Source organism: Homo sapiens, chromosome 5 (genome assembly GCF_000001405.40).
Source record: "Homo sapiens chromosome 5, GRCh38.p14 Primary Assembly".
NCBI lineage: Eukaryota > Metazoa > Chordata > Mammalia > Primates > Hominidae > Homo > Homo sapiens.
The window spans coordinates 14,700,566-14,718,980 of record NC_000005.10 but is presented as its reverse complement, the minus strand read 5'-3'; the positions used below and the strand labels follow the sequence as shown (position 1 = coordinate 14,718,980).

At 47.7% G+C, this 18,415-nt stretch overlaps 2 protein-coding genes and 1 long non-coding RNA gene across 5 annotated transcripts in view; 1 reads left to right on the top strand and 2 right to left on the bottom strand.

Moving 5' to 3' along the window:
* The window catches only part of ANKH (ANKH inorganic pyrophosphate transport regulator), a 166,979-nt gene extending 152,798 nt beyond the window's left edge, over window positions 1-14,181 (top strand). For both annotated transcript variants that reach the window (NM_054027.6, XM_017009644.3), the window contains exons 9-12: window positions 2,146-2,275; window positions 5,314-5,437; window positions 6,008-6,107; window positions 7,671-14,181. In NM_054027.6, the coding sequence (NP_473368.1) occupies window positions 2,146-2,275; window positions 5,314-5,437; window positions 6,008-6,107; window positions 7,671-7,784 (468 nt within the window). In that variant the 3' untranslated portion in view covers window positions 7,785-14,181. The remainder of the gene's footprint in view (window positions 1-2,145; window positions 2,276-5,313; window positions 5,438-6,007; window positions 6,108-7,670) is intronic.
* On the bottom strand, window positions 2,452-6,287 carry LOC100130744 (uncharacterized). Its single transcript, NR_046285.1, has 2 exons — window positions 3,797-6,287; window positions 2,452-2,559 (listed from the first exon to the last, which is right to left on the bottom strand). It is a non-coding gene; the product is annotated as an uncharacterized LOC100130744 (long non-coding RNA).
* Window positions 2,456-18,415, bottom strand: part of OTULIN (OTU deubiquitinase with linear linkage specificity) — a 51,808-nt gene continuing 35,848 nt past the window's right edge. The window contains exons 8-9 of one of the 2 annotated variants that reach the window (XR_007058658.1): window positions 9,945-10,043; window positions 2,456-6,259 (exon numbers count right to left, since the gene is read on the bottom strand). The gene's annotated coding sequence lies outside the window, so the exon portion shown is untranslated. The remainder of the gene's footprint in view (window positions 6,260-9,944; window positions 10,044-18,415) is intronic. The other variant, XM_011514151.3, reaches the window with a different exon arrangement.

Here is an 18,415-nt window from a genome sequence, read left to right as displayed (position 1 = left end):
TTTAACTCTCTTCTCCTGTGCTTCATTTGCATGCCTTCATCCTTCTGCTCTGTCTCTGTGGTAGGCTTCCCTAAACTTATCTTACTGCTAACTTGTGAATTTTCCTTTCTGCTTTTATCTTTTTCTATGTCTTTTTTTTTTGGGGGGGGGGTGGTGTTGGGAGGATGGAGTTTCGCTTTTGTTGCCCAGGCTGGAGTGCATGGAGTGCAGTGGCACCATCTCAGCTCACCACAACCTCCGTCTCCCGGGTTCAAGCGATTCTCCTGCCTCAGCCTCCCAAGTAGCTGAGATTACAGAGATGCACCACCATGCCCGGTTAATTTTGTATTTTTAGTAGAAACGGGGTTTCTCCATGTTGGCCAGGCTGGTCTCGAACTCCTGACATCAGGTCATCCGCCCGCCTCAGCCTCCCAAACTGCTGGGATTACAGCCATGAGCCAAAGCGTCTGGCGTGAATGTCTTTTTTATAACATTCTCCTTCTGTTCTTGTTTCATGGGTGCAGTGTCTTCTCCCATTTCTCTGGGGATATCAGTGGAGAAAAGTTTTTTTTTTCCCTTCTCTCTTTCTGTATTATCTTTGTTTCCTCTTAAGTTGTAGTTTTTTCCATAGTTTTGACCTCCTCACATTGGAGGCCTTTGTCAAAGTCTGGTTTCCTGGTTGCCTGCTCATTTTGGTAAGTGGGGCACTAGTTACTAGTTGTAGTAACTCTGCCCTCAACCAGGTACCCCCCACCCCACCCCATTTTACCTTATCTGGAGACTAGTAGTTGGTTGGAAGCTGTAAACACCAGGATGGGGTTTCTCACCTGCGAGGGCCTCACTGATGGCTGCTCAAGTGCGGCTGCTTCATTGGGAGACTCTAATTTTCAGGAACTTTACGTCTTTTCTCTTGGGCTGGTCAGATTCCTCAGAGACCATTTCCAGTCACCTACCTGGGAAGGACTCAACCAGTTTCCCATGTTCTGGGAGCGTAGAAGAGGAAAGAAGCCCGAACATGCAAATGTCATCCTTCTCTTAATTCCCCCGTTTTCCATGTACAGATTGAGTATGCCTCATCCAAAAATCGAAAATCCAAAATGCTCCAAAATCTGAAACTTTTGAGCGCTGACATGACTCTCAAAGTAAATGTTTATCAGAGCATTCTGGACTTTGTATTTTGGGATTAGGGATGTGTAACCTGTAAGTATAATGCAAAAATTCTAAAATCTGAAAAATTCAGAATCTAAAACACTTTTGGTCCCAAGCATTTCAGATAAGGGTTACTCAACCTGTAGTAACTCTGCCCTGGGCCATGCCAGGTACCCCTCTGTTTTACCTCATCCAGAGACTAACCTCCTGTTTCCTGTCAAATTCGGGGAGATGTAGTCACCAGCTGCGCAAGGGGAGCTGTGGATGGATTGCTTACTAACTTGACTTCCAGCCATCCTGCTCTGGACCCTGCCTTCACCCTGTCTCTGGAAGGACCTGTGCCGCACTTTCTGATCTGTGGGGAAGGGAGGTGGGGAGAGAGCTCCACTTTCCCCATCGGGTTCAAGATTCCCTTTTCCTGTGTCTGTTACATCAGTTTACCATCTGCCCATCTGCTTTCCAGAGTTCCACATTCTGTTGCTGTCTCATCTTTTATTCTCTTAACTAGACTTTGAAAGGTTCATAGGCTGATCCTTACTCTAAATACTAATATTTCCCTTTTCATTATGTGTGCTGATTCTGCGTGGTTCTGTACACATCCAAGTACTTTCAGGTCTTTTTTTATTGCTTGTTAAAGCTGTAAAAATTATATGAATAAACATGTCCACGTGGAACTGGCTGAGCTGTTTGGCACTCTCCTTAACCCTTGCCCCAAAGCACACTGGTTCTGAACGGGTCTGCTCACCCACTCAGAAATAAATGACCCACTCTTGGAGGAGCCACATCTGCTCTGCCGTGGGGGTCCCCTGGGTACAGACATGGCTAATGGACCAGGGCCTCTGTGGTCAGAAGAGAGTCAAGCAAGCAGGTGGCAGATCTGGGACCAGCATGCCCACCACCCAGTCAGGCCGGTTGTCCCTCTTTCGTAACTCTCCAAGGATTGTGCCACACCTGATCTGCTCATTTCACCTGCTTACACTTTTTCCTCACAACCCTGTTTGATGTCTTTCTCCCCAGCTCTGTTTCGTGATGTTTTGGACACCCAACGTGTCTGAGAAAATCTTGATAGACATCATCGGAGTGGACTTTGCCTTTGCAGAACTCTGTGTTGTTCCTTTGCGGATCTTCTCCTTCTTCCCAGTTCCAGGTAAAGAAAAACAGAATGAAGGAAGCATTCCTGTTTATCCTCATGCCTAATTAAATCTTTCTTTGGAAATGTTTGCAATTATGTCACCAACACAAATGTAAAATTTCACTGTGGCTTAGAAAGATGCAAAAACATTAGCCAGTAGGTTAAAAGTTCAAGAAATGAATCAAACAGTATAACTTTTTATTTTATTTATTTATTTATTTATTTATTGGAGACAGAGTTTCATTCCGTCACCCAGGCTGGAATGCAGTAGCACAATGTCGGCTCACTGCAACCTCTGCCTCCCGGGTTCAAGCACTTCTCCTGTTCAGCCTCCCAAGTAGCTGGGACTACAGGCACCCACCACCATACCCAACTAATTTTTGTATTTTTAGTAGAGACGGGGTTTCACCATGTTGTCCAGGCTGGTCTTGAACTCCTGGCCTCAAGTGCTCCTCCTCGGCAAAGTGCTGGGATTACAGGCGTGAGCCACTGCACCTGGCGTACAACTTGTTTTTAAAAGTGCAGTGATTACAAAAACAGTAAAAAGGAAGTAGACCTGAAAGGATAGCATGTGGAGCTTTGGGGACAATAAAACGGCCCTCTGTCTTGATTGTGGTGGTGGGAACACAAATGTGTTCATGTACTGAAATTCTCAAAACTGTGCACCAAAAAGCCAGTTTTACAATACTTTAATTTAAAAAGTGAAATCAAAAAAAGAAAAATAGAGTGAGCGTATTGCTAAAGCCTGGAGATATACAAAGACAGAGAAGGACTGCTGGAGAAAGGAAGACTCCAGGGGAACCTGAGGCCAGATGGATGGTCAGAAAAGAAACTGCCCATGGCTGAGACAAAAGCCAGTTGGAAAGTTATTATACCAAGCCAATATAGTGGTGTGAGGTGTACTATACACAAGAATGAGGTTGTTCTAGATTAAATCAGAAAAGCAGGTTGCAGAATGGTTGATTAGTATACAACCATTTCCATAGCAAATATGTAGCACGTGTATGTCTGTATCGTCATATGGATGTGCTAACTGCTTGCATAGCTACATTCTTTTTGTATAAGTAACTCACCAAGCTGCTAACAGTGGTTGCCTGTGGGAAGCAGGACAAGGGCCTGGGAAGTCACCACTGGGAAGAAGACCTTTGTATTCTATTCCCTTTTGTATCTTTTAAATTCTGTACCAGGTGTGTCACCTAGTCAAAAATCGGTTTCCCCAAAAGATCCACCTAAATCATTAAACTGGAAAGCCAGAATCTACAAAGCCACAATGTTAAGAAAGGAGCCATGGGCCGGGCGCAGTGGCTTATGCCTGTAATTCCAGCACTTTGGTAGTCCGAGGCAGGTGGATCATCTGAGGTCAGGAGTTCGAGACCAGCCTCACCAACATGGTGAAACCCCGTCTCTACTAAATACAAAAAATTAGCCAGGCGTGGTGGCGCATGCCTGTAATCCCAGCTACTCAGGAGGCTAAGGCAGGAGAATCGCTTGAACCCAGGAGGCAGAGATTGCAGTGAGTCGAGATTGCACCACTGCACTCCAGCCTCTGCAATAAGAGTGAAACTCCGTCTCAAAACAAAAAGAAAAAGAAAGGAGCCATGGAGCCCCAGGTAGGCCAGGGCTGATGGAACGGCCCTTGCTCTAAGGCCTTGCGGCGTCACTTTCTGGGCTGTGACAGAAATGGAGAAATGGCTGGAAGATCACAGCACCGGGATGGCATCTGTACTTGTTGGGTAGACACAGGGCGAACCAAGCTCTGGAAGGTGCCACCATCTAGAAGCAGCTGCACTCGCAGATTGAGACACATGCAGTTAATTTCTACAGTAGTGACCAGAGGAGGGGCCTGGAGTGCCCCAGCTGGGAGCAGGCTATAGCTGAGTATGTGATTCACCTTTACTGTCCATTTGACACCACTTCCTTGTCTGTAAGATGAAGGGCTTCCAGACAGCTGCCAGGCCCTGCCACTCTTTGCAATCTGTTGGATTTGGGCCAACCAGTTTAGCATATGCCTGGGATCCTGACTCTCTCCTTTGGTCAAAAACCTCAGTGGGTCTGTCTGCCTGCCTAAGAGAAGAAAATTAGCCTCGTTAGTATTAATATAAGGCTTCCACCCAGAGGAAGGCAGGACACACTGTTAGACCAAGAAGACGGCAAAGACTTCCTTCCAAACCAGCATATCCTGGAAAGGAATTTTTATCCCAGGAATGAGCACTTCCTCCTCCAAGAGCCCTTGCCTGGTGCTGTCCACAGGGAGGTTAACAGGCCCTCTCTTCAAGGCCCAGGCCCTGCCCTGCGCGTCCTCAAGCCTTTCCAGTTTCAGATGGAATCTAGATGCTCAGGGCCTTCCTACTGACAAGGGCAAGCCCCGTGCTCTCCACAGTTCCCCGCTGTCCACCCATGGCCCTCCTGCAGCTCAGAGATCCAGTGAAGAGGCAGGCATGGGCAGGCCATGCAGCCCTTGGTGAAATGGCAGCACACCAACGAGGGCCCACACCATTAGGAGGGAGAAAGGGAAGTGACCTCGGTGGAAGTGGTCAGGACCAGTCCAGGGAAAGAACAGAGGGAAGTGGGGACGAGCAGCTTCCTCCTCCTACCCCACTGCTTGGTCCCCACACCTCTGACCGCAGGCAGGGAAGATGGCTTCTGATGCCAGCTTTTCTGCTCACGCAGCATCACACTAGAGTGCCACTTTTCTCTGAGTGTTCTCTTCTAGAGGTAGATGATCAGAGGGCGAGGCTGGCCAAGTGTGGGGACAGGACTGGACAAGAGCAGCTAGGCTGCCTGGAAGATGCTGTCCCAGTGGAGAAAGGAGCCTGCCTGGTCCCAGCCATTTAGATCCAAAGGGCTGTGAGGAGGCGGGGAGCCGAGGCGGGCCTAGGCTCAGGAGCAGGGATGGGGAACCCTGGCAGGAAGATGAGGTGGCCAGCGGCTCAACAGCAAGGCCAGGGTCCTAGGCAGCCCCTGGCTCTCGGATGTGCTGCCCTGGTCCAGAGGCAGCAGGATGGGGAGTGGATGGCGGGCACGGCTGACGAGTCCTTTGCTCCTCCCAACAGTCACAGTGAGGGCGCATCTCACCGGGTGGCTGATGACACTGAAGAAAACCTTCGTCCTTGCCCCCAGCTCTGTGCTGCGGATCATCGTCCTCATCGCCAGCCTCGTGGTCCTACCCTACCTGGGGTATGTTGTCAGGGAGTTTGGGGCTGTGGGTCCTTCTGCCACTTCAATACTGTGTCCAGAGGTTTAACAGCTACATTTTCAGGGGAAATCCCCAGGCACGTCTAGAATCGGAAATTCAGAATGATGTTTTGTGTGTCTGCCCAGGCACCAGGTGGAGGCTCTTGGGATCCATTTTAGAAAAGTGCTTTTGAAATCAGGCCCAGACACGAATAATAGCCACTGAGCTCCTGTCAGGGCATGGCCGGCCCTGCACGGGCTTGAACGTATGCTGGACATGAAAACCAGAAGAGAAGGACATGGTCCCTGCGCTCAGGGAGCTCCCAGCGTCCTGGGGAGGGTGGGAAGGGCTGTGGGATCCATGTGCTGTGGGAGGGAGGTGGCCCAGCCCCGAGTTCCTGGTTCCCCTCACACATTAGGTTATTAGCTGCGGCCCTTACGAAGCCAGCAGATGGAGAACGCCGCTGGTCTCAGCCGTCTCGAGGCTACACTTACTTTCCTGGGTTTTGGCATCGACGGTTGTGCCTTGACTTGGCCTTAACAGACAAATTGCCTTTGTGTTCTCATCTGCAGGGTGCACGGTGCGACCCTGGGCGTGGGCTCCCTCCTGGCGGGCTTTGTGGGAGAATCCACCATGGTCGCCATCGCTGCGTGCTATGTCTACCGGAAGCAGGTGAGACAGCCGCGCCGGGAGCCTCCTCCCGGGTGCATCCTCCTGGGTGCAGGAGAACCTGAGCAGCCACTGACCAGGTTGGATGGTGGCGTTCGTCAGTGGGGGATCCTTGGTGACACTGCCCAGTCTCGTGGCTTAGGGTGGCTGGAAGCCTAATGGGAGTGGGGTAAGAAAAAAGGGGAAAAGCTGAAGGCAGCAAGTACAGACAGTCCCTTTGAAGAGTTTTGCGCCAAAGGGGAGAGAGGTGTGGACATGGATTTCAGAAAGCCAGCGTAGATGGGGCGAAATTCAGCCTATGGCTTGCTTTGGGGAATGACCCGCAGACATGCGATGCTGCCGATGGGAGAGGGGACAGTGATACCAATGTGGCTGTGCACACAAGGACTGGGCAGTCCAAGACAGGAGCTCGGGCAGCCTCTCTGGTCATGGGCGGAGCAGAGATGCAGTCCGAGAGCTTGCGCAAGGGCCCTTCTGATCACTTTTGTTTTTCTCAGTGAAGTAGGAAGCCACATCATTGTCTGAGAAAAGGGAGGTATATGAGGGTGGAAGAACGAGGACACATGGGTGGGGAAACAGTTGGTCAAGAGAGTAGCAGAGTGAACAGGCCGGGGCAGCAGAGTGACGGCCAGGCCACTCAGAGAGCCTGCTCACGGTGCGTGACGTGCATCTCAGGACACTGGCTGTCCCCTGCGGTTGGGCTTCCCCAGCCATGGCAGCTGAGGGGTGTGGGCTGAGATGGTAGAGATCTGAACCTCAGCACAGCTGGGGCTTTGCCTGGCAAATATAATGAAAGAAAAGCAGGGTAGGGAAATGATGGTCATTACTGAGCATGTCATGTAAGCTGAGGAAAGAGGGGAGACAGGACATCGAAAAGGTGGCCACAATGAAGGGTTGGTGGGATCCGTGGATGGGGGACCAGCGGGGTTGGCAGACAGAGGACAATGTCCTTGCCTTGGCCTGTTGGTGTGTCGATAATGGCAAGGTCTGCAGTGACCCAGCAGTGGCTGAGGTGGGGCTGGGGCTGAGAACCTGATCCCTGAGAGGCCATTTATTGTAAGAACAGGCAACATGGCAGGGAAGTGACCAGGAACTAGGACAGGCAGTAAGTGGGAGAGAATGACGGCAAGCCTGGAGCTGTCCCAGAGGTGACTGACGGATGCTGTACAAGGTGGAATATTTTGATAATGTGAGATTCCAAGCTTGAGGCTTTAGGGAGGAGGAAGGAGAAGCAGTCTACAGGTGACTGTGAGGAGTCGGGGAGAGCGCAGCCCTCATTGGAAAGGGCAGCAGGGAGCGGGTTGTCTGGGGCGGGGCAGTGGGACATGGTGTCCTCCGAAGTGCCTGCCTAGCTCAGTGCCAGGCACACAGCAGGCACACAGACAACCAAACTGCAAGGAACACACTGAGCTAAGATGCAAAAGAGGTGACGCCACCCCAACCATAAGAAGGTTTAAGCCTACAGTGAGGGGTCCCCCAAGACCCCGGTGTTGTCTCCCTGCTCGTGGTTCTGCTGTGCAGTGTCCCCATCCACAGCCCCACACTGATGAGTCTTCTTTGGTCTAGAAAAAGAAGATGGAGAATGAGTCGGCCACGGAGGGGGAAGACTCTGCCATGACAGACATGCCTCCGACAGAGGAGGTGACAGACATCGTGGAAATGAGAGAGGAGAATGAATAAGGCACGGGACGCCATGGGCACTGCAGGGACAGTCAGTCAGGATGACACTTCGGCATCATCTCTTCCCTCTCCCATCGTATTTTGTTCCCTTTTTTTTGTTTTGTTTTGGTAATGAAAGAGGCCTTGATTTAAAGGTTTCGTGTCAATTCTCTAGCATACTGGGTATGCTCACACTGACGGGGGGACCTAGTGAATGGTCTTTACTGTTGCTATGTAAAAACAAACGAAACAACTGACTTCATACCCCTGCCTCACGAAAACCCAAAAGACACAGCTGCCTCACGGTTGACGTTGTGTCCTCCTCCCCTGGACAATCTCCTCTTGGAACCAAAGGACTGCAGCTGTGCCATCGCGCCTCGGTCACCCTGCACAGCAGGCCACAGACTCTCCTGTCCCCCTTCATCGCTCTTAAGAATCAACAGGTTAAAACTCGGCTTCCTTTGATTTGCTTCCCAGTCACATGGCCGTACAAAGAGATGGAGCCCCGGTGGCCTCTTAAATTTCCCTTCCGCCACGGAGTTCGAAACCATCTACTCCACACATGCAGGAGGCGGGTGGCACGCTGCAGCCCGGAGTCCCCGTTCACACTGAGGAACGGAGACCTGTGACCACAGCAGGCTGACAGATGGACAGAATCTCCCGTAGAAAGGTTTGGTTTGAAATGCCCCGGGGGCAGCAAACTGACATGGTTGAATGATAGCATTTCACTCTGCGTTCTCCTAGATCTGAGCAAGCTGTCAGTTCTCACCCCCACCGTGTATATACATGAGCTAACTTTTTTAAATTGTCACAAAAGCGCATCTCCAGATTCCAGACCCTGCCGCATGACTTTTCCTGAAGGCTTGCTTTTCCCTCGCCTTTCCTGAAGGTCGCATTAGAGCGAGTCACATGGAGCATCCTAACTTTGCATTTTAGTTTTTACAGTGAACTGAAGCTTTAAGTCTCATCCAGCATTCTAATGCCAGGTTGCTGTAGGGTAACTTTTGAAGTAGATATATTACCTGGTTCTGCTATCCTTAGTCATAACTCTGCGGTACAGGTAATTGAGAATGTACTACGGTACTTCCCTCCCACACCATACGATAAAGCAAGACATTTTATAACGATACCAGAGTCACTATGTGGTCCTCCCTGAAATAACGCATTCGAAATCCATGCAGTGCAGTATATTTTTCTAAGTTTTGGAAAGCAGGTTTTTTCCTTTAAAAAAATTATAGACACGGTTCACTAAATTGATTTAGTCAGAATTCCTAGACTGAAAGAACCTAAAAAAAAAAATATTTTAAAGATATAAATATATGCTGTATATGTTATGTAATTTATTTTAGGCTATAATACATTTCCTATTTTCGCATTTTCAATAAAATGTCTCTAATACAATACGGTGATTGCTTGTGTGCTCAACATACCTGCAGTTGAAACGTATTGTATCAATGAACATTGTACCTTATTGGCAGCAGTTTTATAAAGTCCGTCATTTGCATTTGAATGTAAGGCTCAGTAAATGACAGAACTATTTTTCATTATGGGTAACTGGGGAATAAATGGGTCACTGGAGTAGGAATAGAAGTGCAAGCTGGAAAGGCAAAAATGAGAAAGAAAAAGGCAGGCCCTTTGTGTCTACCGTTTTCAGTGCTGTGTGATCATATTGTTCCTCACAGCAAAAAAGAATGCAAGGGCATAATGTTAGCTGTGAACATGCCAGGGTTGCATTCACATTCCTGGGTACCCAGTGCTGATGGGGTGTGCCCACGTGGGGACATGTCCTTGGCGTGCTTCCTCAGAGTGGCTTTTCCTCCATTAATACATATATGAGTACTGAAAAATTAAGTTGCATAGCTGCTTTGCAGTGGTTTCAGAGGCAGATCTGAGAAGATTAAAAAAAAATCTCAATGTATCAGCTTTTTTTAAAGGACATTACTAGAAAATTAAACAGTATTTTTTAACATGTGTGACTTTCATGCTTCTGGGGTTGGAGCTTAAAGATCCAAACTGAGAAAGCAGGCCGGGCATGGTGGCTCATGCCTGTAATCCCAACACTTTGGGAGGCCAAGGAGGGTGGATCACTTAAGGTCAGGAGTTTGAGACCAGCCTGGCCAACATGGCAAAACCCTGTCTCTACTAAAAACATAAAAATTAGCTGGGGGTGGTAGCACATACCTGTAATCCCAGCTACTCAGGAGGCTGAGGCAGGAGAATTTGCTTGATCCTGGGAGGCAGAGGTTGTAGTGAGCCGAGATCGCGCCATCGCACTCCAGCCTGGGTGACAAGAGCAAAACTCCATCTCAAAAAAAAAAAAAATCCTTTCCCTCTAAATCCAGGAAGGATCAGCAAGGGCCTCCTCATTATGAGATGAGGAAATACAACTCCAGAGATTCCTTCAGTGATCAAGATCAGTGGGCCATAATATTTGGTTAGAGTTTCTGAGAACACAGGAAGCAATGCCACACTCAGGCCACCACAATGGAGCTGATTTGGCAGGACTTGTTCAAACCTTTCACCTTAAAGCACGTGATCCTTCTTCGTACATTTTCTTCACTTGGGCTGCTTAAGTCACAGCCTAACAACTTTGAGGCAAAACTGAGAACTGGCATATTCTCCTGCGTTTCTTCTAATCGAGTCCCATCATCCAGCTAGACATGAGAGATCAAACCAGGGAGGGTGACCTTTCTCCTTCCCACTTTTCAGAGTCATTGGGGCAACTTTTTGACTTTTGTGACCAAAGAAACATTCCCCCAAAACATTTATTTTTCATTGTAGGGCATTCAGCTGACAGCTGCATTTTAGAAAGTTACCATGCCTGTGAGATTCTCATGTCAAAGACCAGGGAAAGACCAGGTGTGACTTTCTCCAAAACTGAGTGATTGCTTGTGGATGAATACAATCTAAAAATACAAGGCCATGAAGTAGTTTTTCATTTAGATGCTGAGAAATAATAGGTTTGGGCAGCTCAAAGCATAGGAAATAGTAAGGGTTTTCTAGAGCTCCTCCTTTGGTGGCCTGTTTGAGTAGCACAAGGGACGTCATCCTAAATGTGCAGTTGCCATTTGTTCTGTAGTGACTTACAGGGATCTCAGTGGCAAAGGGCGTCAGTGAGACAACAACTGAGCAAAAAGAACTAGACGAGGCTTGCGCTTGGAAAGTCACGGTAGGATTGGACCTGCCGGCCACATGGCTCAGGGAGTATTGACGGATTTGCACATTGGCAGGAAACTCTCCCGTTTGGGATTCTTTAAATGGGGCACAGAAGGCCACTTGTTTGCATTTCTGGGTAAAAAACAGTCATCCCCCATGACTGCCTGCATCGGGTTTGTCTTGTGCCAAAGTTACTCTTCCTTTGTTTTTACTTTGCCTTGATTTTTAGCATTAGCTGGTAGTTTGGCTTGGAAATGTCCTGGATAGCCGATTCCCTAAGAAACTGAAACATTTAATATTGGCTTAGGATGTATCAGATGGGGCCAAATAAAGCTTCTTTACAATAGTAAAAGCACTTTATACTTCACTCTCTGAGTCTTCCCAATAAATAACCTTGGGAGGTGCAGGGGGTGGGGGGCCCAGGATGGGGAGGCCTGGGAGCTCCCAGGGTAGTGACAGAGTTGGGCTGAGTTCTCCAGACGCCAGGATGCGTCGCAGCGGGGCCAGCTCAGGAGTGCTCACTCCCAGCCCTCTGGATCTCTCTCCTGGTTGGAATAATCATTACATATCGTAACTCTCAAAATTTATTCACTTATATTTTCAGAATAAGAAGTGTGAAATGTTAACAGCTCTCTGCTCTCTTACTTGTTCCCCATTTGGGGATCTTCTGGAGGGAAGGGGCAGGGGGAGAGTAACTTTTCTATATCCTTGGTTTCTAGGAACACATCGATTTGAAGACTCAGTAGCTGACTGGTTTTTTTTTTTCCCCCTTCAAACTGAAGTGCGAGTGTGCGTGTGTTCCACAAAATAGCAAGTATTTATAGTGTTGTAATTACATTTCCTTGAGAAATATTTTCTTGTATTTAAAAATCTTTCTACTTCAGTAACTCCCAGCAGAACAGTGCCCAGGACAGCATGTGCCGGTTAGTACCAGCTTTGCAGGTGAGCTGACTTCTAAACTTAGGACGACGTCTTCATCAATCAAACTAGTGCACAGTCCAGAAAAAGGGGTCCTTTATCTTCTAAGTTCTGCTCCTCACCTTTCTTTGGAACCAAAATTGCAGTGGAGTGTGAGGAAGAGCTTTGAAAGACGTGGAGTGTTGAGATGTCTGCATTGCACATTCAGCCGGTTCAAAGCCAGCAGCTCCTGCCTGCATTCTGTAGACATCGCCCTCACACACAGTCCTCTGATGGCTCTCATATAAAGCACTCAAACCGTAGGAAAGCATGTTTTTGAGCAACGTGTCTGGGATACTCCTCTGTGTGGTTATTTTGAATCTCTATTTCTGTCATTGAAGCAGCAAAAAACATCATGTGACTCATCAACTGATCTAATCACACTTAAAACAGGATGTAGAGAAAAATCTGATGAGAAACGTAAAAGGGCCTGTTGCCTGCCCTTTTAAAGGCAAAATGTCTAAAATCATGCAAATGTTCAAAATGAGAGAAATTGCATTGTGGAATCAAAATAACCCAAACTCCACTCAGAAAAGTCACAAATATATAGTATACTATCTGATCTCAAAAGGGAAAAACGAGATGATAAGACCTTAAGTTTAGACTTTATTTTCTTCTCAAGAGTGGACATTAAATCTATTAACTTGCAACTTTCTGCTGGGAAGAGCATCAAAGGTGGGCCTCCTAAATCATTTTTGAAAAACCTCTGTCAAGTCCAAGTGGTTCCAGGAGAATTATAGCCAGTATCTTTTAAAATATTTCATTTTAGTGATAATGTTTTTCTCTGCTTCATTTGCAATCAACCAGGATCTCTAAAAGACTGCATAAGATATATGCACTTTTATAGGTGGCTGTCAGCTACACATAGATTCAGCAAATTTTTTTTATATAGTACCTGTTTTTAAGTTAGGCTACATAACTTAAAGTGCACTTTACTAACAAGACTTGACATTAGCGTCTACAATATGTATATGTAAACAAAAGCACACAAGAACTAGGCACCCTTTCTCTCTCCAAGAGTTTAAGTGGTTTCCTTAGGTTAAAGAAGGGGACAGACCAGCTAAAAATGGTTGTACCACTCACTGTACAACCTCATGGAAATTCTCACTATAAGATTTAGAGGCAATGTTCCCTAGCTATAAGCCAGGGCAAGAAATGGCGCCTCTGGAGTTGGGGAACATTAGGGGAACATTACAACCGGGTAGATGCTGGTTCCCTGAAGTGTGGGGCCATGAACATGCAGGGACCCACGGTTTGAATGAAACAGCTACTGAAAGCTAAGTTCAAACCACCCTTGCGTAACAAAGGAGTACAGGGTACACATCAACACCAATCACCCAGCACCCCACAGCGATGGTCATGTCACCGTGCAGCAGGTCCCTTACCCCAGGGCTGCCACATCCACAAGCCTTGCAGTGGCAAATACGCTGCTCCTTGGATTTAATGAGATATTTTGGTTGCTTAATGATGTACTGATCAGGGAACTGTCTAAAGCTAGTAGGGCCAAGGAGTTAATCAAAGGGCTTCGGGAAAGTGGACAAGAGCCACACACGTGATTCTGTTCCATGCCGACACTCATTCATTTAAGAAGTGTATTCAAGCTGGAGGCTTCCATATCACTCACGCTTCTTGGCCTCACCTTGCTCATCTGTCCAATGGGAGGCTTGAGCCATTATTGCTAAGGCCCCTTCCTGATCTAACATTCTGTTTATGATCTAGGATTTAGAACGTCGTATGAGATCCTACAATGGAAGAATAAAATCACCTCATTCTTCATTTCAGATCTGAACATTAGCAGTGATCTAGATTTTTTTTTTTTTAAACAAAATTAAGTGTGCTTAGAGTCATTCCTCTACATGGGCTGTGGCTGTCAGCCCATAGGTTTGTCAGTTTCACATCAAAACTGTGGGTATAAACTGTTGAAACCAATCACATTAAAATATTTAGCTGGGCACAGTGGTGTGCATCTGTAGTCCCAGCTACTTGGGAGGCTGAGGCAGGAGGATCGCTTAAGCACAGGAGTTGGAATCCAGCCTGAGCAACAGAGCAAAACCCCGTCTCTAAAATACAAATAAAATATTTGTGTAGTTTTTGATTAAAATTGACTACAGCGGTCAGTATAAAATACATGTCGCTTTTAAGGAAGTGCTCTTTATGTATCTAACAGATGGAAGTTTTTGCATTGGTAAGAGCATTTATATATGCTTTGTTTCAGGGTTTATGGATTTGTATTCATATATTGTCAAATAGGTTTCATACTCTAATTTTACTTTAAGTAAAGCTTAAACACTTGGCATACAACTGAGATTGCTTTTAGTTTCTTGATTTTTTTTTATTCTAACCATGCATCTGTTTACTCACCGCAAAGTTACTTGGTTTCCTAATCCTGATTACAGTTTCCCTTTTAATCAAATTTACCTGAGAGATTAACATTTTGCCCTTTCCCTTGGTTGCTAAAACTTCTAACCACTGGGAAATTTCTCTAAACTCCCTGTCTTACTTAAATATAACCTATTTCTTCAGATTTTATTCTGCATTAAAATTACTTTTACTTCCCAAAACTTCAGTAATGAAAATGCTTCTCTGAACCCTCTCCAACTTCTCTATACACCTTCTCAAATGGGAATGCCAAAATGAAGCAAGTGTTTGGTGAGCCTGAGAAGGACAGAGCCCGACAATCCTCCTGCCCACATCTAAGAGATTCTTACTCTTCTTAGTCTTTATGGGAAAAGCATTACTCTTTTATCACTTTTTTTTTTTTTTTTTTTTTTTTTTGAGACGGAGTCTCCCTCTATTGCCCAGGCTGGAGTGCAGTGGCGCAATCTCGGCTCATTGCAACCTCTGCCTCCCGGGTTCGAGCGATTCTCCTCCCTCAGCCTCCCGAGTAGCTGGGACTATAGGCACACGTCACCACGCCCAGCTAATTTTTGTATGTTTAGTAGAGACGGGGTTTCACCATGTTGGCTAGGATGGTCTTGATCTCCTGACCTTGTGATCTGCCAACCTCTGCCTCCCAAAGTGCTGGGATTACAGGCGTGAGCCACCACGCCCGGCCAGCATCACTCTTTTCTTAAAGCATCATGTTTTAACCTCAAAGAAAGATGGCTCTAATTTTTTTTAGCTCCTCATAAGACATTGTAGAAAGTGTTTCATTACATACCTGTAGTCAGTAAGATTCTAGGCATCCTACAGACTCGCTTGGGATTGCCTATTTCCTTCCTTACTGCTCCTTTTGTTAAAATCCCAGATCTCAGTCCTACCTCCACTGTGCTTCTCTCTTACTACCTCTAACACCAACCATGTTTTTGAAGGCTTCAGAGCTGTGCTCCCGGCCACAGTGCATGGGCTATGCCATGTCCATGGCATAGGGTCAGGCCTAGCTATCGGGTCAAGTATGTTCAGTTCCTGGTTGCCTTAAAGACAATACAGAGCTGCGCTGGCCCCAGCATCATTCACTGTCCCTGTGGGGAGTGGTACTCTTAATACCACAAGGGGCAAATCTACGTCCCCAACCCATGCTTTCCCCTGACATCTCCATCTAGAGGAGGCACATTTACCTCCCACCTGGAAACCTCCTCCTCAACCCCCCACCGCCAGTGGAGTCCCACCAAGCCCTGCCCCCTGGTATCTCTGCCTTCCACGCCTTCCTCTTTATCCTCTGTGGTCTCACTGGCTTAGCTCAGGAGAAAAATCGTGGAGAATTTCTCAAAAACTGTGGAGAAAACTATGCCTCCTTCTAAGTTTTTTTTTTTTTTTTTTTTTTTTTTTTTTTTTTTTTTTGACACTATTAAAGGTAATGCTAAGGTGCAGGGAAGGTTGGCATTGCTTATATTTGTAATTCTGCTCCCAATAAGCTCCAGGTTTCTTACCTGGACAATATAAAACAGTAAATACCATGCTGACTGCCCAGTTCAATACACTGGGCTTTAAACAAAAGGAAAAAATAAATCAGGAGCTGTGAGTCCTCATTCTGTCTGCTGCTTTTTAGCTGTGATTCAGGCAAGTGACTAGACGCCTCTGGATCAGCCTCCTGTCCTCTACAACCAGATCTTTTCTACACAGTTCTAAACTACTGCACCACCAGGATTTGCAGAGTGGCCAATGACAGTTCACAAAGGCGGAGGTGCCGTGTCTGCTAAGCTTCTAAGCCACATGGAAGTGCTTCAGCCAACAAATCCATGAACATTACTGTGGTCCACTTTCAACACAGAAAAATGACTAGAGCTTTTATGAAACAAAAAAGCTGCTTATCTCAGGTTCAGAAACCCTTGATTCCAAAGACCAATACAGAATTAACAAGTACAATCATTATTTCCAAACTTTACATTATACTATACACCTCAAATTCTCATCGGGTCTTTCATCTGCTACACAATAAAAGCTCTCTTGGTCTAAAGGAAATGGCTGAGGAGAGCGGCCTGTATCTCCACCGCCCCTGATGGCACCATCAGGGCAGCTGCTTGCAATTCACGTGTGGTCTGAGGTAAAAAGCGTTTCCTCATGCTTTTTATCATGCCAGCAAGGCCACGTCCTAACCTCGCCCGGTTCTTCTTTCCCCCAGTGCCAACCTGCCCAATGCTATTTAATTCCATGCTCTTCAGAAAAGTATACAAATGGCTGGCAGGCCCAATTCCACCTTCGCTGGGAATCCAGTCCTCACAAGCCCAGGTTCCTAATCTGGGCCTATTTCCAGCTCCAAATACAGCGGTGATGCCCAAGTCTGTTTTTCCAGCCCTAACTTGTTCCCAAGCTTCAGACCAGTCACTGGGTGTATCCAGTCACCTCCCAACATCTCCCCAGGGGCCGAGAAGGGCTGTGGCCTTCAGCCCATCCCTGTACACTCTTTCCTTACCCCTTCCACATTTTCTCCTGTCTCCCCCATCTAGAGGAGTCACAGGAGCACCCACCCGGAAACCCACTCCATGTCCCACTCCTCTCAGTCAAGTCCCCAAGCGCCATCAGCGCTGCCTCCTAGCATCTCACTCCCACTCTCTCCTTTTCCTCTTCAGTCCCAGCAGCTCGGCTCAGGGGGCTCCTGCTCACCTTGGGCTTGGATGCTACAGAAGCCTCCCTCCAGAACCATCTCCCTCCACGAGGCTCGAGTGTTTCCCTAGACTATGATGGAAATGACATCTCCTAGAATTCTGCATCACACAACCCACACACCCATTCTCAGCAGCCTGGGATATGGTTCTAGAAACCCTGGCCTGATGAGCGCCCTGCTTTGCCCGGCAGGTCCTTCCTCACTGTAGGCACTGGGCTGCTTCAGGACCAGCCTGACACTTAACACGGGTGGGCACCAGCTTACGCCTGAGCTACATGTAGAAAATAAGAACCCAGCCAGAGAGGACGACACTCACACCAAAGAGAAGGCGGCCACACCAAACGGGGACTCCTGATGGCACCCGGCCTCCTTCTGCAGGAGTCTGAACTCCCTGACTCTGCCATCCCTCAACACGAGGAGGGCAAAAAAGTACCAAGAGTAGATATTTGAAAAGAATTTGTAGAGATGGTTTCTTTGCAGAGAGCGACACTGAGTCCCACTCCTTCTGGGGCAGGGGGTTGTAATACTCAAAGCTTGAAATGGGGTCCTGAGTCCTGGGGACTCAGTGGGCTGGTGTCTGACTCACCCATCAAATCTAATAGAAGGGCATTGGGGCTGGCTGGCAAATCCCGAGTTTGACAGGGCAGGGGGTCCAAAAGTCTTTCCCTTGGCCCAGACCCTGGCCTCATAGATCAACAAGCTTGCCTGGGGTCATCTTAAGGCCTGCCCCACAAGGCCACCTAGGGGTGTGGACAGGGCTCAGTAGAAAGAAGCTGGAGCTATCACTGGCTTCCTACGAGCTGCAAAGGAGGAAGTTGTGGTGGGAGGCGACAGCATTAGCACATCCCAGGAGCTGCCTTGGTCAAGGTACATGGGAAGGCCCTGAGCCGGGGACAAGAAGTGGGGAGACAGAGGGGGCCTCAAAGATTCCTGAAAGTACCCCATGAGAGAATGAGAACAAAGCCCTGGCTGAGCCCAGGAAGGGCGGCCGACAGGACAATTCCTATGGAGGGCTGAGATCTCTGCTCCCTCCCTGTCTTGGCTCCCTCCTCCTGTTCTAACTCTGGAGGGCCAAACAGGGCAGTGAGCAACTGTCACAGCTTTCACTCTCACACAGATGCGATATTCCAATTTCTGAGTTAGGAAAGCATTTGGCAACCTAAGAGGACTATAAAGTCTATTACCCCAGAGTGCTCAAAAAGGTGATGGGTCGCCCTGAGTTGAGTTTTCACCAGGGGTAGGAGAAGGTCTCCGATTGAATTATGTCTTAAACAGCCAAAGACAAAAATAGTTACTTTGTGATTCCATCCCTGGAGTCATGCCAGTTCTGCTCACCAGTGACAAATGCACAAGAGCTCCGTGAAAGGTGGGGAGGGCTGCAGAGGGGAGGGCTGGGGAGGGTAGGCACAGCGGGAGGTACAGATGGGGAGGGTGGGCAAAGGGGGAGGTGCAGATGCGGAGGGTGAGCACAGAGGGTATGGATGGGGAGGGTTGG